Below are 21,822 nucleotides of genomic sequence, written 5' to 3'. Positions count from 1 at the left end.
TGATTGGGCCCCGCCCAATCAATGAAAAAAAAAAAAAAAAAAAAAAGCCTCGCTATTTACCATGGGCCAATGGGAAGGGAGGAAGAAAATGAGTGGCAGGTCTGACGGCCCAAGAGCTTCAACCCTGGAGCTGCAGAGGCGGGCAGGACTTGATTGGTGGCCCCTTAGACTTAAGTGGAAGGCTTTAGATCACTAGGCCTCTCCAAGGTCGGAAAAAAACTTGTGAGCGTACAAGACACTAGAGGGAGCATCTTGTAGCTTGGGCCACTGAAGCTCCTTCCACCCATGTAGTTTCATCCATGAGAAAAGTGGAACTACAGCTTGTAGACTGGCATAGTGTGAAGGGTGGCAGAAAGAACGATTATGAAGACTTCTTTGGAACCCTGGTTCATTTCTATCGCTCCCTTCTCTCCAAAGAACCCATGGGAAATCCTCCTCACAGCCCTCCACAGCACACCTCCAAATGAGTACTACTCATTAAGCGCAGCACTCCCTAGAACAGGGACCCACCCTTCTCTTCTGGAGGTCTACATCTCTCGAAGTCCCCGCTCTTGACCACTTGGTGGAATGGAAACGGGTGTGAGAGTTTGGCGCAGAGGAGTAAGTTCTAGCAGAACTATTCGCTGAAACAGCTGCTTTCTGTATTTAACCCTTCCTTCCCTGAGTCCCAAGGCAGAGTTGGCAAATAAAATCTAGGAATATGGAGCCTGGCCCCCAAAGGCACTCCATCCCAGGACCAGGGACAAGCCAAAGGGCTGACCTCAAGCACTAAGCGCTCCACAGGGGAATAATTGAAAATGGAGTAAGAGTTCTTGGTCTTGGAGGGTGAAGGGTGGGAGGAGGGAGAAGATCAGGAAAAATAACTAATGGATATTAGGCTTAATACCTGGGTGATGAAATAATCTGTACAACAAATCCCCATGACACAAGTTTACGTGTGTAACAAACTTGCATATATAGGCCAGGGGCGGTGGCTGATGCCTGTAATCCTAGCACTTTGGGAGGCCGAGGCGGGCAGATCACCTGAGGTCGGGAGTTCAAGACCAGCCTGACCAACATGGGGAAACCCCGTCTCTACTAAAAGTACAAAATTACCCGGGCGTGGTGGCGCATGTCTGTAATCCCAGCTACTTGGGATGCTGAGGCAGGAGAATCCTTGAACCCGGGAGGTGGAGGTTGCAGTGAGCCGAGATCATGCCATTACGCTCCAGCCTGAGCAACAAGAGCAAAACTCCGTCTCAGGAAAACAAACAAAAAAACCTGCACATATACTTCTGAATTTAAAACAAAAGTTAAAAAACAAAGATTTCTTGGTCTCTGGTCACTACCTCCCTCATCAGCTTTGCGCCTCCACTGTCACCCTCAGGAATGTTCCACATACTCAGCGAGTATGCTTGGGGGGCAAAAGGGTGAAAGATACAAAAGCTTCTGATATCTATTTAACTGATTTCACCCAAATGCTTTGAACCTGGGAATGTACCTCTCCCCCTCCCCCACCCCCAACAGGAGTGAGACAAGGGCCAGGGCTATTGCCCCTGCTGACTCAATATTGGCTAATCACTGCCTAGAACTGATAAGGTGATCAAATGACCAGGTGCCTTCAACCTTTACCCTGGTAGAAGCCTCTTATTCACCTCTTTTCCTGCCAGAGCCCTCCATTGGGAGGGGACGGGCGGAAGCTGTTTTCTGAATTTGTTTTACTGGGGGTAGGGTATGTTCAGTGATCAGCATCCAGGTCATTCTGGGCTCTCCTGTTTTCTCCCCGTCTCATTACACATTAACTCAAAAACGGACAAGATCATTTACACTTGCCCTCTTACCCGACCCTCATTCCCCTAACCCCCATAGCCCTCAACCCTGTCCCTGATTTCAATTCCTTTCTCCTTTCTTCTGCTCCCCAATATCTCTCTGCCAAGTTGCAGTAAAGTGGGATAAGGTTGAGAGATGAGATCTACCCATAATGGAATAAAGACACCATGAGCTTTCCATGGTATGATGGGTTGATGGTATTCCATGGGTTGATATGTCAGAGCTTTCCAGAGAAATAACTTGGAATCCTGCTTCCTGTTGCACTCAAGTCCAAGGACCTCAGATCTCAAAAGAATGAACCTCAAATATACCTGAAGTGTACCCCCTTAGCCTCCACTAAGAGCTGTACCCCCTGCCTCTCACCCCATCACCATGAGTCTTCCATGTGCTTGTCCTCTCCTCCCCCATTTCTCCAACTTGTTTATCCTCACATAATCCCTGCCCCACTGGGCCCATCCATAGTCCCTGTCACCTGACAGGGGGTGGGTAAACAGACAGGTATATAGCCCCTTCCTCTCCAGCCAGGGCAGGCACAGACACCAAGGACAGAGACGCTGGCTAGGTAAGATAAGGAGGCAAGATGTGTGAGCAGCATCCAAAGAGGCCTGGGCTTCAGTTGTGGAGAGGGAGAGAGCCAGGTTGGAATGGGCAGCAGGTAGGGAGATCCCTGGGGAGGAGCTGAAGCCCATTTGGCTTCAGTGTCCCCCAAACCCCCACCACCCTCTTCCTAGGCCGCCCTCCCCACTGTTACCAACATGAAGCTGCTCGCAGCAACTGTGCTACTCCTCACCATCTGCAGCCTTGAAGGTGGGTGTGATATGGAGAGGGGGCCAAAAGGGAGAATGTGCTGGTGGTTATAGCTACCTATCTGCCTGTGCTCTTATATCCAGGTCTGGCAACCAAAGGGCTCAAAAGGAAGATCATTCCCTCTCTAAAGCCCAGAAAGCCCATCCAAAGATCTGGCTGGATACCTTTTTGGGGAGGGGGCAGAGAGCTGGGGTGGGTACTGGCAGAGGTATGGCAGGAGGCCAGGATTCACTGCTGTGGACCCAGCTGAAAAGAGTGTGTGTGTGTGTGTGTGTGTGTGTGTGTGTGTGTGTGGGCAGGAGCTTTGGTTCGGAGACAGGCAAAGGAGCCATGTGTGGAGAGCCTGGTTTCTCAGTACTTCCAGACCGTGACTGACTATGGCAAGGACCTGATGGAGAAGGTCAAGAGCCCAGAGCTTCAGGCCGAGGCCAAGTAAGTCTCAGGGCAAGGGGTTCAGGGGCTGTGGAACTGTGGAGAGAAAGAAGGGAAGATGAGAGGTCCCACAGAAGTCTGAACCCAGGGGTGGGGATTAGGGCAGATTAGGCTTAAATTGCAGAGAAAAAGTATTTCATCACCCAAAGATCCCACACGTCTCTTAGATAGAGAGGAACAGCAAGAACTGGGCCTTGAATTTCAGTCTCTAGAGTCTGTCCCTCTACCTAGCAAAGGTCTTGACTCTATTCCTACCTAGGGGCTTTGCCATGCGATGGACCAGGCACTAGAGTTTGGGGACCTGAGTCAGTCTGCTCTGACCTCCCACCACCACCAAGGCCCCTGCCAGTGCCTAGGGTCCCTCAGATTAAACTCTAATCCCCTCACCTATCCAGGTCTTACTTTGAAAAGTCAAAGGAGCAGCTGACACCCCTGATCAAGAAGGCTGGAACGGAACTGGTTAACTTCTTGAGCTATTTCGTGGAACTTGGAACACAGCCTGCCACCCAGTGAAGTGTCCAGACCATTGTCTTCCAACCCCAGCTGGCCTCTAGAACACCCACTGGCCAGTCCTAGAGCTCCTGTCCCTACCCACTCTTTGCTACAATAAATGCTGAATGAATCCAGCTCTGAGCCTGGTATGTTTGGGGGACTGGGAAAAGTAGGGGAGTAAGGGAGGAGAAGAGGAAGGAAAAGGAAAAATCTGCTTCTAGAAGGAGAGAGGTTTGAGTGTGGAGGGGTGAAGAAAGGATTGAAGACACAACTGATGAAAATGACAGGATGAGGGTGCCATGATTCTCCAAACCCAGAGTCTCCTACAGCCTGGGCACGACTCTGCAGGTGAACACTAAAGAGGCTTTGCATTGCACAAGGAACTAGGAGAGGAAGGAAGGATTCACAAACTGAATCCCTCGATTTCTGGAGGTCATAGAAAATGAGGGTACCCTGGTGGGGTGCAGTGGCTCACACCTGTAATCCCTGCACTTTGGGAGGCCAAGGTAGGTGGATCACTTGAGATCAGGAGTTCCAGACCAGCCTAGCCAACATGGTAAAACCCCGTCTCTACTAAAAATACAAAAATTAGCCAGGTGTTGTGGCACGTGCCTGTAATCCCAGCTACTCGGGAGACTGAGGCATGAGAATCTTTTGAACCGGGGAGGCGGAGGTTGCAGTGAGCTGACATCGTGCCACTGCACTCCAGCCTAGGTGACAGAGCAAGACTCCGTCTCAAAAAAAAAAAAAAAAAAAAAAAAAAAAGAAAGTAAAGAAAAAAAGAAAATGAGGGTACCCCTCATAATTTCCTGTTAGTCATTCTATGAAGAAAAGAAAGCTTCCCAAGGTGTCACCCGTGGCCCTCCTTTCCCTTCTGAGCCAGGGGAACACTGTGTTTCCCCCTTTCCCACAATAAAAGACTTGAGTTTGCTCCTCTCCCTAGAAGTGCTCTAATTTCTCCATTTAAAACCTCTTATCTAGACCAGGCATCAAGGCTCACACCTGTAACCCCAGCACTTTGGAAGGCTGAGGTGGGAGACTCACTTGAGGCCAGGAGTTCGAGACCAGACTGAGAAACACAGTGAGCCCCCCTAATATATATATTTTTTTAATTAAAAACAAAAGACCAGCTGGGTGCAGTGGCTCACCTCTGTAATCCCAGCACTTTGGGAGGCCGAGGCAGGCAGATCACCTGAGGTCAGGAGTTCGAGACCAGCCTGGGTAACATGGTGAAACCCTGTCTCTACTAAAAATACAAAAATTAGCTGGGAGTGTTGGCACATGCCTATAATCCCAGCTACTCAAGAGACTGAGGCAGGAGAATCGCTTGAACCCGGAAGGTGGAGGTTGCAGTGAGTCGAGATCACGCCATTGCACTCCAGCCTGGGCACCAAGAGTGAATCTCCATCCCAACAACAACAACAACAACAAAAACCCTCTTATCTAGACACTGTCTGTGGAAGACCCATTCCAAGCCTCTCCTCCACTGCTATCCAGGCACTATTCATAGAACTGGCCTGGTAGCCATCTTGGAGCCTGGAAGTAGTAGCTGTGGTAGCCATTTAAAGGCCTGGCAAGTATCCAATTCGGTGGACATGTGGGACTAGAAAAACTTTGGGAGCTGTGATACCTGGATTAAATGAAAATGGAATGGAAATCAGTCCGGGTTGATGGGGAGAGACTTACAATCCCAAAAGGCAGAGCAAAGGAAAATGAAACATTTTCCAATAAAAGTTTATTCCCACTTTATCTTTAAAAGAGTTACTTCCAGGTCAGGCTCGGTGGCTCACACCTGTAATCCCAGCACTTTAGGAGGCTGAGGCGAGCAGATCACGAGGTCAAGAGATCAAGACCAACATAGTGAAACCCTGTCTCTACTAAAAATACAAAAAAAATTAGCTGGGCATGGTGGTGCCTGTAGTCTTAGCTACTCGGGAGGGTGAAGCACGAGAATCTCTTGAACCCAGGAGGCAGAGGTTGCAGTGAGCCCAGATCATGCCACTGCACTCCAGCCTGGTGATAGAGGGAGACTCCATCTCAAAAAAAAAAAAAAAAAAAAAAGTTACTTTCCTACCCTGGCTCATTTCTCTTATCTCATCTGAAATCACCTTTCCCCCGCCAGACACCGGAGATGGCTCCAATTCCTTCCAGATATTGATCAACCTGCTTCATCTGGCCTTCAAGACCCTCGCCATTCATGATTACTCACTACCCCTTCTCTTTCCCAATATCTGCTTCTTCTCATGTGGCAAAATGTGCAGAGACGAAAGTGATCTCAGTCGGTTCCTTGCAAGGTGACCTTGGACAGGTTAATTAACTTCAAAGAGCCTGAATTTCCTCACAGGGTTAATTAGCAGATCAAATGGTACAATGAGCTGGAAAATACTTTGAAAAGTGTAAGTCACTATGCAGTGTGAAGTGTTGTGCAGCACTGTGGAGGTTGGGGGTTATGCCAGGGGTAAGCTTGGAGTCTCTAGACCCATTCTGAAAAGACTGGGTCACGAGTAGGACTGGCAGCATCTCCTGAGGTTTAAATTCTTTCAGGCAAATATTCCTCGTAGCTCTGAAAACAGGACAGGCATTGACAGGGCCTTGACCACCACCCATGCACTTGAAGGAGATGACCCCCCCATTTGGACCCAACTTATTTCCCTTTGCCTTACCTACCACTGACCCATCTGGCCCTCTAAGGTCCCACTTGCCCCAGATGCCCTGAAAATTCACTGTTGCTATAAAACCTTCCATTAGGAGCTTCACTCAGCCCTAGTTACACCATCCGTTCTGCATATTTGGCTTTTCAGCTATGCTAATTCCCATATGCATGTACTGGATTGATGCTGTCTGGATTGGTGGCCATCTGGGGACACCCAGCCTCCCCTACAACCCAACCTTGGTTCAATTGTCGAACACAGAAGGCCATGCTGATACAGAAGTCATTTCTTATGTTTCCAAATATGCCTAGACTCCCAACACACTAGTCCCTGCTCCAGCTCCATCCTCAGAGCACCTACAGGTCAAAGGTTTTTATCCCTCCCCCAGCCATAGTCAGCATTTATCCCTCAGTCGAGCAAAATAGCTCTGAAGTCCATTAGACTGTGAGTTCTGGAACTGAAAAGCTGTATCTAGTGCTTAGCAGAGACTGAATAAATCTATGATAAATGAATGAATGAATGAATAGAGTCCAGTCCATGGCAGTTTTATTGGGGGTTCTCCCTTCCCATATTTTAGCTGGAGTTGGGAATGGGGAAGAGAAGAAGGGTGGGACAAGAGAGTGAGACTAGAATATAAATATCCGTAAACAGCATCTGAGCATTAGTCTTTAACAGGGAGGAGGAACCACTGGTGTATATTAATTTAGGACACAGGATCATTATAGGGGTAGGGCCAGCTGGTGTTAATGGCATGCAGGCATATGTGATGCCAACCATGAGGGCTGGAAGAACCAGAAGCCAAAGAAGAATATGACCGCATCTATTCTAAAGCTACTGTGGTGGTTTCTCATGCTTCAGAGTCTCGTAAGTCTCCTGGTTCCTGGTGCTCAGGCCCTGGAGATGGGAGTCAAAGGGCGATCAGGAGCTGGAGTCCATCAGAGGCCCCTCCCACCTCCACAGGACCCCCCTCCCCCCACCGGCCTTCCAAAGATCGCTCAAAATCCCACCCTCTTCTGCTGACTTCCTGGGTGGGGGAGGTAGGCACACTTACCGTGTAAACACCATCTGATTTCTGCAGAGACAAAAGAAGCAAAACATTAAAGACCCACACTTTCTCCAGGGCCCCTCAGCATCTGCCCCACCCAGGGAGGCATGGGGGGTGGGCAGCCAGCCACCTTGGGCTAGAGGGCACTCACATGGACACTCTGGGACATGGATACCTGTTTGCCCACATGGCTACAAGCACACATATACACCCGACATACTACATCCAAGTCTCTCACATATTCTTTATCACTCTATGCTTGATTCTTCCCTGTCACCTGCTGAATATTTTACTTGTGGCTTGGCTAGGTAAGGTGGGAGGGAGGCCTCTGAGGTGTATGCAGATCAGCACCTGAGAGGCAGGCCCTCCCAGAGGCCCGGAAACCCAGGCTAGAGCCCCAGGAGGGCTGAGGGTCTGAAAAGTTGTCCACACCAGGTGTAGGAGGGTCCATACCTCATAGCTGGTTATAGCTGCCTTTCGCACTTGGATCTGGAATGGGGGAAAGGTTATCAGTAAAGGGTAAGTTAATGGCCCATCCCCCTTCCCTCCAAACTTTGTGGAGGATCCCCTTTTATTCCTTCTCTTCGAATCCTTGCTGCTGCCCTCCTCCCACTTCCCCTTCCAGCCCTTACCCCACCCTGCCCAGCGCTACCTTCAGTCGACAGTAGAGGAGGGTGAGGACAATTCCATACAGAAACAGGATGGCATCCAGGATATAGCAGAGCTGAGGCTCTCCCAGGGCCGCTGAGGGGATAGAGGATGCCCATGGGGTCGGGGGTATCAGGGAGGATCTGGTACTCAGAGGAGAGAAGGGAAGGGGCTCTGGGAGGTAGGACAGGGCCTGGAGGGGAGCCGTCTAAGGGAAGAAATTCTGTTTCTCTCTGGCCTTCCACTGCCCTTACCTTTCCCTCCTCCCACACCATAGGGTCAGGCTAGGATAGGAAGCTTGAGGGTTCTATTGAAATGGGACTCACACGGACTAATAATTGAGGCCTTCCCCCTCAGCCCCCAACCTTTTCTTTTTAGCACTGTGGGTTCTTCAGGCACCATTGAGCACTTTATCCACCTCAAGGGACCCATCTGAGTCCACTGGACTGAAACCAAAACCTCAGCCAAGATGGGTAGTGGGAGGGAGAGGTAGTGGCAAATTTCAGTGAAGAAACCACAGAAGTGTCTCTACTAAGTCCTGTGACCTGTGGCTGAGGGCTGGACAGGAAGGATGTGAGCTGGGGAAGGGAGAGAAGGCAATTACTCTATCATTGGTCATCTCCTAGCCTCAGCCTTGTTGCTTTCTGTCCCACCACAAGACACTTAAATATGTAAAAAAAAAAAAAAAAAAAAAAAGTGTGTCTGTTTTTCCCAGACCTTACAGATACCTTTGGCCCTGAACACAAGGCTGGGGGAATGACCACAGCTATATGGATTCCAGCTCCTGTTACTCTGCCCTATTACTCACTCTCTGGGTCTCTGAGAGGGGAAGTTTTGTGCAATTTAAAAAATCAAATCAAGTCTGGGCTCCAGAGACTGCTCTCACCCCGTATCAGAGGACCAGTAGGGAACATGTGACTAACGTCAGTCAATTGCTGACATCGGTCAAGTACTTTTTATTCTGCAACACTCTTTCACACACACGATATTGCACAAATCTTAAAACTACCCTGTGAGGGAAACATCATCATCGCCATTTTATGGGTGACGAAACCAAGGCTCGGAAAAGCTAAGTAACTCACTCAGAGCCACAGAGTTAAGTGACAGAGCTGGAACTCAAATGCAGGTTTTCTGCCTCTAAAGCCCATGCTTTCCTTTGTGCCTCAGCGGGCCTCCTCCCTCCTCATCCCACGGCAGCAGACCAGTGGCTAACTTAATACTTGCTCCCACCTTCTCAGCTAGGCTGCTGGAATTCCTCCCCAGTCATTCTCTTTCAATTTCCACAGTTTCCCTGAAGTTTACTGACCTCCTCCTCCCCAACACCCAGCTGCCACCAACACACACACACCAATCCAGCACAGACAACACAGAGTGAACGAGGAGTGAGAATTCTTAGATAGTGGCTGGAGCTGTAGAGCTTCAGAGACCTTCCCATTTCTGCCTCTATTTCTCAGCTGACGCTCAGGTCTCTGGAACTGGGGATCTCATGCTGCCCACCCTCATTATCAACTGCTGACAGAATGGAGCATTAACAATGACCCATAGAAACAGCAATCCCGTCTGTTTGTCTTGGCTATATCCTTGCCTTACTCCCAAGCACAAGAACAGAGTCCTACCTTCCTAAAGGGTTATCTCTCTCTCTCTCTCTCTCTCTATATATATATATATATGTGTGTGTGTGTGTGTGTGTGTGTGTGTGTGTGTATGTGTGTGTGTGTGTATATAGATAGATAGATAGAGATATATATGTAAAATCTTTTTTTTTTTTTTGAGACGGAGTCTCACTCTGTCCCCCAGGCTAGAGTGCAGTGGTGCGATCTTGGCTCACTGCAACCTCCACCTCCTGGGTTCAAGTGATTCTCCTGCCTCAGCCTTCTGAGTAGCTGGAATTATAGGCACCAAGGGTGCTTTGTATATTAAACCAGCTAGAGATCAGCTCCCAGCAGACAAGACCAAAGGCACCCCATGGGAAATGCTCATCATGAGAAATGAGGCTTTTCACCAGACCAGCTCTTCATGCCATACAACCAGACCCTTCCCCTGCCACTTTCTATCAACCCTGAAAAGAGAAAAGTCAGCCAGGCACAGTAGCACTTTGGGAGGCCGAGGTGGGAGAATTGCTTGAGGCCAGGAGTTCAAGACCGATGTGGCCAACATAGTAAGACCCTGTCTTTTTTTAATAATAATAATAGCTGGGTGCAGTGGCTCACACCAGTAATCCCAGCACTTTGGGAGGTCGAGGTGGGTGGATCACTTGAGTCAGGAGTTCAAGACTACCCTGGTCAACATGACGAAACCCGGTTTCTACCAAAAATACTTAACTTAGCCGGGCGTGGTGGCGGGCACCTGTAGTCCCAGCTACTCGGGAGCCTGAGGCAGGAGAATCGCTTGAACCCAGGAGGCAGAGGTTGCAGTGAGTAGAGATTGCGCCACTGCACTCCAGCCTGGGTGACAGAGCAAGACTCCATCTCCAAAATAATAATAATAATACGGAGAAAAGTCTGGAATGAAGTAAGAAGGCAACAAGAAAGGAGGGAACTATGAGTCTAGTGCCCTGGGTCGGGGCTGGAGAGGACTAGCCTCAGGGTCTCCCTATGCCCACCTACCCACTGTCAGCCTTCCTTCACCTGTGTTTGACTTGGCCCTCAGACCCAAGCTCTGGACTTCCACCCTGGAGCCAGCTCACGCTATCCCTCACCAAACCCTCTTACCTGCTTGTTCAACCAAAAGGAGTAAGAGCAAGACCACTGCTGGAATCATCTTGGGCTGGAGATCGGCCGTTCTGACAGCACTGTGCAGCTGTGCTCAGCGAGCAGTTCCCTGACCACAGAGTCCCCCTCTTCCTGCCACGCCTTCCCCCATGCTTTGGCCCCTTCCCCTTCCTGCACAAGAGACCGGGCGGCTCCCGGAAGGGCCAACTAAGGGAGTTGGGAGATCTGGGCTCTTAAGCGTCAGCCCTTCAATGACCAACTCCTAACCCACAGAATGAGGAGACTTTCACGCTCAGGAAAGGCTGTCTACATCTGCCATTTTCCACTCCACCTGGTTCAGATTTTTTTTTTTTTTTTTTTTTTTGAGACGGACTCTTGCTTTGTTGCCCAGGCTGGAGTGCAATGGCGCCATCTCGGCTCACCGCAACCTCCGCCTCCCAGGTTCAAGCGATTCTCTCAGCCTCCCGAGTAGCTGGCATTACAGGCATGCACCACCACGCCCGGCTAATTTTGTATTTTTAGTAGAGATGGGGTTTCTCCATGTTGATCAGGCTGGTCTTGAACTCCTGATCTCAGGTGATCCATCCGCCTCGGCCTCCCAAAGTGCTGGGATTACAGGCGTGAGGCACTGCGCCCGGCTGGTTCAGAGATTTATCTGTGTGAAACTGCCCGTCAACATTCCCTCAGACCCCACTATAGCCCTTTCCCTCCCAACTTTACCCCAGGTCTTGATTTGAGTGGTTTACCAAGTTATGTGGGCACTGAGAAGGTTTGGGCAAGGAGGGAACTGAGGCGAAAGAGGAAATGGGGAATAGAGAAGTGGAAAGGACAAGAGTCAGAGAAGGGGGTGGAGACGAGCAGGAAAAATTGCTAAGACCTGACTGAATCTAACAGGAATGGAGGGTTAATGAACATTCTTAGGTTTACAGTCCGAGTGAAGGACACTAAGATACTGAGACACTAAGATACCAGAAGTTTAGGCCTAGGGGCCGCAAGACGGCTAATTTATTATAATTTCTCCTTTTTTAGTACATGCACAGAAAGCCTGACAGCCAAGTGTACATGAACATACACACACACACACACACACACACACACACAGAGGCCAATTTCCAGTGAGGAACAGGCTCCACAGAAGAAGCTGATAGGCAGGGGGGATCAAACGCTGCTCCCCTGCTCACCGATCTACTTCTCCAAATACAATATCTTGGGTACCTAGGTGAGAGGATGGAGGAAAAAAGTGATGTTACTTATCTTCCTGTTGTGAGGCAAAACAAACAAAAAAAGTGGTGTTACCCAAGATCCAGAACCCATTACTGTGCTCAAAAGATTGAGGACCCGAGTCCATGCCATGGCCTATGGTGAACAGGAAGTGTTCTCCTTCTGTCCCCAGTGGGCGTCCCGAACTCCTTTGTCTAGGATACCTCTACTACACAATAGGCCTCGTACCTATGATGGCAACGACATCTGCCAACATGTGTCCCTTAGACATCTTGTCCAAACCAGCCTAGGGAGATTGAGATGGCAACAATGTTAGTTAAGACTTGCAAGGTGGGAGGAGAAAGAAGAGTTCATAAAAACCTCAACCAAGGTCAGGTTTAATTCATTGGAGTTATAGTTACTGGGATTGATTCTTACCAGATGGGCAAAACCAGGAGCCTTGATCTTGCATCGATAAGGGCGGCTGCTGCCATCAGACACCAGGTACACCCCAAACTCTCCCTGTTCAAGGAAGAAGGTTGGGTGTCTGTATTAACATGAAGAGTATTTTTCTCTGCCAACAAAACCTCTATTCATTCTGTTTTCTCTCTCATTGATGAATGAGCTATTTGTTAAACATCTATCTTTAGCTACCTACTCTACATATGGTCTTTTCCTTCCCCTCCTCTCCTTACCTTGGGAGCCTCAATGGCAGTATATGTGGCTCCTGGAGGAACTTGGTAGCCCTCAGTATACAACTTAAAGTGATGAATCAGTGACTCCATGGAAGTCTGAAGAGAGGAAACAGGGAGCATCAATAAACCATATCCAAACTCTGTCTCCTAGGCCTCCCCCAGCACAGAAAATAATCTCTACCCTCAGGGAGACTAAAGCCACATGTCAGTCAGTAAGCAGAGAGGATACAGAATAAAACAGGAGAGCTATGGGAGATTAAGAATCTCTTATATGGCCGGGTGCGGTGACTCACGCTTGTAATTCCAGCACTTTGGGAGGCTGAGGTGGGCAGATCAAGAGGTCAGGTGTTCAAGACCAGCCTGGCCAACAGAGTGAAACCCCGTCTCTACTAAAAATACAAAAATTAGCTGGGCGTGGTGGTGGGTGCCTGTAATCCCAGCTACTCGGGAGACTAAGGCAGGAGAATCGCTTGAACCCAGGAGACAGTGGTTGCAGAGAGCCAAGATCATGCCACTGTACTCCAGCCTGGTGAAAGAGCGTGACACCGTCTCAAAAAAAATAAAAAAATAAAAAAAACCCGAATCTCTTACTACACAGTAAATTCTCTATTAAAAGAAAACTGGGTTGGGTGTGGTGGCTCACGCTTTGTAATCCCAGCACTTTGGGAGGCCAAGGATCACCTGAGGTCAGGAGTTCGAGACCACCCTGACCAATATGGTGAAACCCTGTCTCTACTGAATACAAAAAATTAGCTGGGCGTAGTGGCACACGCCTGTAATCTCAGCTACTTGGGAGGCTGAGGCAGAAGAATTGCTTGAACCTGGGAGGCGGAGGTTGCAGTTAGCCGAGATTGCACTCCAGTCTGGGCAATAAGAGTAAAACTCTGTCTCAAAAAAAAAAGAAAACCAAAAGATAGGATTTAATCCAAGGATACTCCTCCCCAGCCACTGGCCCCTTTCCAACACCCCACACTTTCCCCCTCCCTGCAGCCAACCTTCATCTCTGCTCGCTTAGGTGGAGACACTTTGGCATCATCAACCTTGATCTCCCCAGGAGGCATCTTGTTTAGACACTGTGCGATAATTCTCAGGGACTGGCGCATCTCCTCCACCCGGCACAGGTACCTCAAGAAGATGAGACAGAGCAAGAGAAGAACAGTCAGAGGAGCAGGTATGGGGCTAGGAAGGATGCCCTTTGGCCAACCTCAAAAGGGTTAGGTCAACTCTCCCCACTCTTTTCTCCAAGTACAGCATCTCTGCTTGGCTTGGCCACCCATATAAACCCTGTAGTCTTTTTTTTTTTTTCTGAAACAGGGTTTCACAGCTCACTGCAGCCTCGAACTCTGGGGCTCAAGTGATCCTCCCATCTCGGTCTCCAAAGTAGCTTGGATTACAGGCGTGCACCACCACATCCGAATATTTTTTGTAGAGACGAGGTTTCACTTTGCTGCCCAGGCTGATCTCCAACTCCTGAGCTCAAGCGACTGCCTGCTTTGGTCTCCCAAAGTGCTAGGATTATAGGCATGAGCCACCAACCCCAGCCCCCTGTAATCGTTTGCTTCTACTCTTGGGTGCTTCCCCAAACCCTCTCCTTATTTTCTCAGAACATGGCCTGTAGTATTTATTTCTTTAATTACCTCCTTAAGCACTTTTTGGACCACAGGATGGGTGAGAGTCAAATGGACAAACAAAAATAACAGCAGTAGCTACCAGGTTCAAAAAATAAAACAAACAAAAATAAAAAAAACAATACACAGTAACAAATCTGACTCAGGGTGAGAAAACAGGAGGAGAATTTGTTTTTGGTTTTCGTTTTTTGTTTTTTTGAGACAGAGTCTCGCTCTGTCGCCCAGGCTGGAATGCAGTGGCTCCATCTCAGCTCACTGCATCCTTCACCTCCTAGATTCAAGCAACTCTCCTTCCTCAGCCTCCCAAGTAGCTGGACTTACAGGCATGTACCACCACACCCAGCTAATTTTTTGTATTTTTAGTAGAGATGGGGTTTCACCATGTTGGCCAGGCTGGTCTTGAATTCCTGACCTCAAGTGATCCACCCACCTTGGACTCCCAAAATGCTGGGATTACACACATGAGCCACTGTGCCTGGCCCAGGAGGAGAATCTGAAGCTTAGGATCTACTAGAAAGAACACTGGATCAGGAGGATTCTAGTCTCGACCACTCCTGAAGAATAATCCCAGCTAATCCCTAACTTTTATGCCTCAGCTTTCTCAGCTATAAAATGCAGCCAAAGCTAGCTCCATCTAAGACAAGGATAATGTAAAGATAAAAAGAATGCCATAGGCCGGGTGTGGTGGCTCACGCCTATAATCCCAACAATTTTGGAGGCCGAGGCGGGTAGATCACCTGAGGTCAGGAGCTTGAGACCAGCCTGACCAACATGGAGAAATCCCGTCTCTACTAAAAATACATAAATTAGCTGAGCGTGGTGGCTCATGCCTGTAATCCCAGCTACTCAGGAGGCTGAGGCAGGAGAATCACTTGAACCCAGGAGGCGGAGGTTGCAGTGAGCCGAGATTGCACCATTGCATTCCAACCTGGGCAACAAGAGCAAAACTCCGTCTCAAAAAAGAAAAAAATAAGTAAGATTCCATATATGTGAAAGTGTTTTGAGAGCAACCTCGTCTAACACACACAAGAGCTCCCACAGACACTGAGAAGTAGGGTAAAGAAGGAAGTGGCAAAGAGAAGAGTGAGGCAGGGGAAACTAGCTGGAATATCAGCCAAGAAAGGATTGGGGCCTTACCTATCATAGCAGTCCCCTCGAGAACCAACAGGAACATCAAACTCAACCTGGTCGTAAACATCATAGGGCTGGGTCTTCCGCAGGTCCCACTGGATGCCTGAGCCCCGAAGCATCACTCCACTGTGGAGAGCATAATGGGAATAAGGGCCACTCTCCACAAACTAAGTAAGGAGGCTCCTTCTTCCTTAGCCTCCCTTGTTGATCCTTCACATTCAGGGTATGACTAGGAGGATGCCAACAAGTCTTCAAAGACAAGATATTAGGCTGGAACTCCCCCACTCCCACCCCCACTCCTACGGAGAGAAGTTGTATTCCCCTCACCTAAAACCATAGTTAAGTGCTTCTTCTGCTGTTACAACCCCAATGTCAATTGTCCGATTTCGCCAGATCCTATTGTTGGTCAGCAACTATTGATCAAGAAAACTGGTGTGTTAATACTCTTCCTCACACTCTTCAAATATCTCTGTATTTCTCTAGCCCTTCTTGTGGGGGAGAGATTTTTCCCATTGACTCCTAGCTTACCTCCTCCAACTCATCAAGCCGAAGAGAGAAGTTCTTAGAAAACTGATAAATGTCATCCATAAGCCCAAGGGGTAGGTCCTAGAAGCCAAACGGAAGTGCTACTGAATGTGGCATAGCCTTCACTAAGGAGAGCCCTCTCAGCACCCCCTCCCCCAGCGATACAGGTTTGGAGTTTCCATCATCCAGCACTGCCCTCCAGTGGCCACAGGGAAAATAGGCCTGGGCTGGACATTTGGGGAAGCCGGGGACCTGCTCACCTGGTGCACTCCTCCTGGCCGGATATAAGCAGCATGCATTCGGGCTCCAGACACTCGCTCGTAGAACTCAAACATCTTCATAGAACGTGCTGGGAATTAGTGTCAAAGTCCCAGGCCCCCAGGTCCTATGATGGCCTACTCCCCCACTTTCTGCCTTCTTGTGCCCAACCAACCCCTCATGATATAGTTTCTACAAATATAACCCAAGTTAAACATACCTTCCCCCTCTAAATGTTCTCCCATGTTCTCTCTCTTCTTTTAATCTCCTGTCTCCTTTATACCTTCTCTACTTCCTGCACTTCCTTCCCTATTCCTATCCTTTCCTCCCACTCTTACCTTCTCCCTTTCTTCAAACAGCCAGAAGAAAGGGGTCATGGCCCCAAGGTCCAGGGCATGTGTGGTCACAGCCATGATGTGGTTCAACAAACGTGTGATTTCTCCAAACAGCACTGTGAAGACAAGGAGAAGACAGGATATAGGAGCCAAGCACTGAGGCGGACAGAGAGGTCTGGGCAGAGCCTGGGGTCTGAACACTAAGCTTGGGTTCAACGGGGAAGTGGTGGAAAAGGCACTATGCTATGCTCACAGTGGGCCACAGAAAAAGTTGGGGGGACATACCTCGGATCCACTGTGCCCGAGGAGGAGGCCGGATGTTTAGCAACTTCTCCACAGCTAGAGAATAGGCCTGTTCGTTACACATCATGGACACATAGTCTAGCCGGTCAAAGTATGGAAGGGCCTGGGAAGAGGGAGGAATGTGGGTCACATCTAACAGGCTCAGGAGCCCACAGTCTGGCTGCCTGAAGCCTTGCTCTCAGTCGGCACCAGAAGTTGGTGCTGTATAAGCCTTTCTAGTCTCAGGAGCCCCAACAAGGCAGGTAAAAATATCCCAAAAACCAGTAGTATTCTAGTAAATGTTTAAAAACTGGCTCTCCAAAGTGAGGGAGGACTCTGATTTGTCATGTTTGCCAATTTCCATGGTAAAAATACTCCCACAATGGCCAATTTTAAGTTACCAATATCATGTAACTGAATGCAGCATTGGGAAGAATACCACACCATTATACAGTATTTCCACCATACAGACACATTCAAAGCAAATACCTCAAAGGCAGAGCATAGTAAAATGTGGTAAAATAATGAAGTGATGAGCTTTGAATATTTAATCTTACCTTTGCTTTTAATATAATGTATTAAATCATAAGCTTATATAAATTAATTTCTGACAATGGCTATGTTCAACAACTGGCTCACAAAACTCCTGAAAATTTAACAACTGCACTCTTGCAAGCCCGTATGAGCTAGCTCCAGGATACCACTGTCAAGAGTCCTTGGCCGGGCACGTGGCTCACGCCTGTAATCCCAACACTTTGGGAGGCCGAGGCGGGTAGATCACCTGAGGTCAGGAGTTTGAGACCAGCCTGACCAACATGGAGAAACCCCTTCTCTACTAAAAATACAAAATTAGCAGGGCGTGGTGGTGCATGCCTGTAATCCCAGCTACTTGGGAGGCTGAGGCAGGAAAATCACTTGAACCCAGGAAGCAGAGGTTGCAGTGAGACAAGACTATGCCACTGCATTCTAGCCTAGGCAACAAGAGCAAAACTCCATCTCAAAAAATAATAAAAATTTAAAAAACTGACATACTGGTCAGGCGCGGTGGCTCACACCTGTAATCCCAGCACTTTGGGAGGCCAAGTCAGGGTGGCTCATGAGGTCAGGAGTTTGAGACCAGCCTGGCCAACATGGTGAAACCCCATCTCTACTAAAAATATAGAAATTAGCTGGGCGTGGTGGTGAGTACCTGTAATCCCAGCTATTTGGGAGGCTGAGGAACGAGACTCGCTTGAACCTGGGAGGTGGAGTTTGCAGTGAGCCAAGATCACACTATTGCACTCCAGCCTGGGCAACAAGAGTGAAACTCCGTCTCAAAAAAAAAAAAAAAAAAAAAAAAATTAGCCAGGCATGGTGGTGCGTGCCTATAATCCTGGCTACTCTGGGGGCTGAAACAGAATTGCTTAAACTCGGGAGGCAGAGGTTGCAGTGAGCCAAGATCACGCCACTGCACTCCAGCCTGGGCGACAGAGCGAGACTCCGTAGGGAAAAAAACAAAACAAACAAAAAACTTCAGATACTGAAGGAGAAAGGCAATCAGTCTTAAGAGTATCTGGGAGGGTTTTTTTTTTTAATCTTTTTTTTTTTTGAGACACAGTCTTGCTCTGTTGCCCAGGCGCTGGAGTGCAGTAGCACCATCTTGGCTCACTGCAACCTCTGCCTCCCAGGTTCAAGTGATTCTCCTACAGGCGCACACCACCACGTCTGGCTAATTTTTGTATTTTTAGTAGAGATGGGGTTTCACCTTGTTGGCCAGGCTGGTCTCAAACTCCTGACCTCAAGTAATCCACCTGCTTCGACCTCCCAAAGTGCTGGGATTACAGGCGTGAGCCCGGCCAGAGTGAGGTATTTAAGGAAGACAGAGCATCAGGTAGAAATGGTCCTTCCTCCAGAATGCCAAAAAGCCAAGTCCTAGCTGTCTGCTGAACCAGCTTCAGCTTCCAGGAAGAGGGTGGAGCTAAGACGCTACTAGCTGGGACAGCCTGTTCTTATTCTGATGTCACTGTGACGGGGGCTAATGCTACAGGGGTTAACCCATAGACTCCAGGACCAGAAACTGTCATCGCCGAGGCTCTCTTGGGGAATCACATTCTAGTCACTGTTCACCCCGACACTGGGCTGGATCTAAATCCTAATCCTACCATCCTGTTATCAGGACCTTTCTTCATGACAGTAAGAAAAAAACTTCAGATTCCTATTAGAGATCCAACTCCTTCAAATCTGACCTTCATCATTTGGGTTATACAGTTCTCCTAAAAATGGCAAACTGTCATAAACCCTCTCTGAGTTGCTGTGACTCATTGAATGTTTTGAAAACAAACGTAGACAGCTGGAAGATACAAGAATCAGCTGTTAAACTTAGCGAGCTAATGTCTTTTCTCTTTCCCTGCCCCTAGGGACACTGGCTTTGACGCACTAGTCTAACGTAAGAGCAGGGAAACTGAGGCACTCAAGTAATGGCAAAGGGGCCTGCCAAAAAGTCAGCCAGAGAAAAGCTGAGTATAGCTCCAGCTTCAAAGCACTGCTGCTAAATAAACCAAATCCTAATGACTCAAGCATCCCCTGCCACTTCCCTCCATCCACCCAACCAAGAGTAATCTCAACGGGTTACTCCTCTCAACACCTTCCTCCCCTCACGTTTTAAGGGCAGCAAACTGGCAAAGCCCCAGGCTAAAGCAACCCCAGATCCCGCCAAAAGGCTCCTGTTCACCCCCCACACCTGAAGATAGGTCTTGTATTCAATGAGCTTCTCAGTGCCTCGGTGCAGGAGCCCGATGTGAGGATCACACTTCCGCACCATCTCCCCACTCAATTCCATCACTAGTCGCAGGACACCATGCGCTGCTGGGTGTTGGGGCCCAAAGTTCAGGGTAATGTTCTTCACAATTGTGTCCTTTGGAGGGTCCACATCTGAGAAGTAAGAAATAGTTCAGAGCCACATGGTTATTCCCTTGGGATCCCCCAAAAGATAGCAAGGAGTTAGCCTCTCCCTATAGATTTTCTAACTCACCATTCCATACTTTGTTAATTTCCTAATCTCCACTATAACCAGGAAGAGGACTCTTAGATGGGGAAAAGGAAGATCTAAACTTTCTGATGACAGACATCATGAATCTCACTCTATGTCTCCTAGAATACCTTTTTTTTTTTCATGGTTCATAGTCAGTGTGCATAGAATATCTTTTTAATAATACATAACACTTATATAGCTTTATTATGTGCCAGGCACTACCTTAGGCACTTTAATTGATTTAATTCTTACAACAACTGTTATGAGTAATAGGTACTATCGTTATCCCCATTTCATTGGATAAACTGAGGCCATGGAGCTTAAATGACTTTTCCAGGATCATAAAACTAGTAAGTGGCAGAACCAGGATTTTAACCCAGCCTGTTTAGCTCCAGGATCCAAACATCTTAACTACTATGATATACTGTCCTCCAAATGTATCCAATGAATGGCCAACCAGTCAGGAAATGGTATACCTAATGCTTACTCGCACTAAATGAACTTTTACCCTCAAGAAGATTACCTTTTTTTTTTTTTTTTGAGACAGAGTCTCACTCTGCACCCAGGCTGGAGTGCAGCAGCACCATCTCGGCTCACTGCAATGTCTGCCTGCCAGGTTCAAGCAATTCTCCTGTGTCAGCCTCCAGAGTAGCTGGGACTACAGGCGCACACCACCATGCCCACCTAATCTGAAGCTTACATTTTAATTTGCGAAAGAAGTACATGTGAAAAACTAGGAACAGAGGCCAAATTTGTAAGTAACCAAGAAAGTGCCTTAGCCATTAAGTTTTTAAAAGAAGGAAAGAACACTGCAAAGACTTCATGTAGGTAGGATCTGAGCTCAAATATAGGAAATGATTTAGATAGCTAGAAGGGAGAAGAAGCATTCCAGGCTATGAAATCAACATGGGCCAAATCTTAGAAACAAGGAAGTAAACATCCATGGAACTCTTATTGGGACTTCCTAAGAGAGGGATGATTAGTACTGGGACAAAGTAGGGGGTAGTGGTTCAATTATCTGTACATATCATTAATAACAATGAACACTTATAGGGGACTTACATGTGCCAGGCACATGTTATCTCATTTAATCCTTAAAATAATGCTATAAATAGACACTTTATTCACTGGTAAATTGAGAGTGGAGATTTGAAACCAGAGCCCATCTTTTCCACCAAAATTCTTCATGATGGGCTTTGGAGTCTGACAGACCCGAGTACAAATCTGCCTGTGTGTCCTTAACCTTTTTTTTTTTTTTGAGACAGTCTTGCTCTGTCACCCAGGCTGGAGTGCAATGGCGTGATCTCGGTTCACTGCAACCTCCACCTCCCAGGTTCAAGCGATTCTCCTGCCTCAGCCTCCTGAGTAGCTAGAATTACAGGTGCGTGCCACCACGCCTGGCTAATTTCTGTATTTTTAGTAGAGGCGGGGTTTCACCATGTTGGCCAGGCTGGTCTTGAACTCCTGACCTAAGGTGATCCGCCCACCTCGGCCTCCCAAAGTGTGAGCCACCGCATCCGGGCTTTAATCAAGTTTTAATCTCCTTAGACCATAATTTCCTCACAACTGGGGTAATACTCTCATAGAGCTGTTGTAAAGATTAAACAAAATAATGCATACGAAAATGTTTGGCAAATGGTAAGCACTCAGCTATTGTTACTGTAAGTTTGTGGAAAGTAACTGGAAGTGTCTTTGAAGGTTTTGGAGCAAGAGTATGAATAACATGGTAAAATAATGTTTGGGGAAGATGAAGGTGATGACACTGTATAGGATAGATGGAAAGGGGACAACATCAGCGGCAAAAACTCAGTGAATAGACTCCTAAAATAATCAGGGTCTAATACAAGATAAATCTGAATAAGAATGATGGCAATAAAAATTAAAAGGGAGAGATGACCAGATATGAGACATTACGAAAGTATCTACATGGTTTGGTAACTTACTGGACATAGACATGGAGGGCAAGATAAAACAGCCAAAGATGACTAAAAAGTTTCAATCCTGAGGGATTAGGAGAATGAGGGTGCCACTGATCAAAATCAAAAGTCAAAAGGAAGAGCTAGTTTTGATAGGAAAAAAAATGGTTTGTATTCATGTAGGTTTCATTTGGTTACCAACGGGAAAACCACCACCTTGTCTGGAGAGGGAGATAATGTAGTGAAC

At 47.9% G+C, this 21,822-nt stretch overlaps 3 protein-coding genes across 12 annotated transcripts in view, besides 2 other annotated features; 1 reads left to right on the top strand and 2 right to left on the bottom strand.

Annotated features, from left to right (window-relative positions):
* Positions 391–500: an enhancer, noted in NCBI's record as "active region_1986". NCBI's record gives its function as "activates an Ori minimal core promoter by ATAC-STARR-seq in GM12878 lymphoblastoid cells {active_cell/tissue: GM12878}" and the evidence as "EXISTENCE:reporter gene assay evidence [ECO:0000049][PMID:35858748]".
* Positions 2,338–3,674, top strand: APOA2 (apolipoprotein A2). The gene is made up of 4 exons (NM_001643.2): positions 2,338–2,371; positions 2,541–2,616; positions 2,916–3,048; positions 3,444–3,674. The coding sequence occupies exons 2-4, from the start codon at positions 2,565–2,567 to the stop codon at positions 3,559–3,561; spliced, it is 303 nt and encodes a 100-aa protein (NP_001634.1). The 5' UTR covers positions 2,338–2,371; positions 2,541–2,564; the 3' UTR covers positions 3,562–3,674.
* On the bottom strand, positions 6,721–10,671 carry FCER1G (Fc epsilon receptor Ig). The gene is made up of 5 exons (NM_004106.2): positions 10,596–10,671; positions 7,889–7,980; positions 7,690–7,725; positions 7,243–7,263; positions 6,721–7,085 (listed from the first exon to the last, which is right to left on the bottom strand). Exons 1-5 carry the CDS (start codon positions 10,642–10,644, stop codon positions 7,023–7,025), a joined length of 261 nt encoding a protein of 86 aa, NP_004097.1. The 5' UTR covers positions 10,645–10,671; the 3' UTR covers positions 6,721–7,022.
* Positions 7,764–8,750: an enhancer, noted in NCBI's record as "H3K4me1 hESC enhancer chr1:161187006-161187992 (GRCh37/hg19 assembly coordinates)". NCBI's record gives its function as "activates a minimal SCP1, AML or CMV promoter by ChIP-STARR-seq in primed H9 embryonic stem cells {active_cell/tissue: H9 hESC(primed)}" and the evidence as "EXISTENCE:reporter gene assay evidence [ECO:0000049][PMID:30033119]".
* Positions 11,571–21,822, bottom strand: part of NDUFS2 (NADH:ubiquinone oxidoreductase core subunit S2) — a 16,979-nt gene continuing 6,727 nt past the window's right edge. For 4 of the 10 annotated variants that reach the window (NM_001377298.1, NM_004550.5, NM_001377299.1 and 1 more), the window contains 12 exons: positions 19,369–19,559; positions 16,653–16,773; positions 16,371–16,483; positions 16,035–16,109; positions 15,778–15,855; positions 15,577–15,662; positions 15,256–15,375; positions 13,486–13,615; positions 12,491–12,586; positions 12,234–12,317; positions 12,045–12,102; positions 11,571–11,810 (listed from right to left, as the gene is read on the bottom strand). In NM_001377298.1, the coding sequence (NP_001364227.1) occupies positions 11,773–11,810; positions 12,045–12,102; positions 12,234–12,317; positions 12,491–12,586; positions 13,486–13,615; positions 15,256–15,375; positions 15,577–15,662; positions 15,778–15,855; positions 16,035–16,109; positions 16,371–16,483; positions 16,653–16,773; positions 19,369–19,559 (1,190 nt within the window). In that variant the 3' untranslated portion in view covers positions 11,571–11,772. Of the gene's footprint in view, positions 12,103–12,233; positions 12,318–12,490; positions 12,587–13,485; positions 13,616–15,255; positions 15,376–15,576; positions 15,663–15,777; positions 15,856–16,034; positions 16,110–16,370; positions 16,484–16,652; positions 16,774–19,368; positions 19,560–21,822 lie in introns of all 10 variants that reach the window. The other 6 variants (NM_001377300.1, NM_001377301.1, NM_001166159.2 and 3 more) reach the window with 4 other exon arrangements.

Source organism: Homo sapiens, chromosome 1, assembly GCF_000001405.40.
Source record: "Homo sapiens chromosome 1, GRCh38.p14 Primary Assembly".
In the NCBI taxonomy this organism is placed as follows: domain Eukaryota; kingdom Metazoa; phylum Chordata; class Mammalia; order Primates; family Hominidae; genus Homo; species Homo sapiens.
The sequence above is the reverse complement of the archived record's forward strand: the minus strand, read 5'-3'. Positions and strand labels throughout refer to the sequence as shown.

Bases quoted from the DNA above. Each gene is read 5' to 3' on its own strand.
- APOA2 (NM_001643.2), top strand. From the start codon at position 2,565: ATGAAGCTGCTCGCAGCAACTGTGCTACTCCTCACCATCTGCAGCCTT. The intron at 2,617-2,915 runs GTGGGTGTGATA...GTGTGTGGGCAG, and splicing joins CACCATCTGCAGCCTTGAAG to GAGCTTTGGTTCGGAGACAG. The intron at 3,049-3,443 runs GTAAGTCTCAGG...TCACCTATCCAG, and splicing joins GAGCTTCAGGCCGAGGCCAA to GTCTTACTTTGAAAAGTCAA.
- FCER1G (NM_004106.2), bottom strand. From the start codon at position 10,644: ATGATTCCAGCAGTGGTCTTGCTCTTACTCCTTTTGGTTGAACAAGCA. The intron at 7,726-7,888 runs GTAGCGCTGGGC...CCCCCATTCCAG, and splicing joins TCCTCTACTGTCGACTGAAG to ATCCAAGTGCGAAAGGCAGC. The intron at 7,264-7,689 runs GTATGGACCCTC...TTGTCTCTGCAG, and splicing joins CAGCTATAACCAGCTATGAG to AAATCAGATGGTGTTTACAC.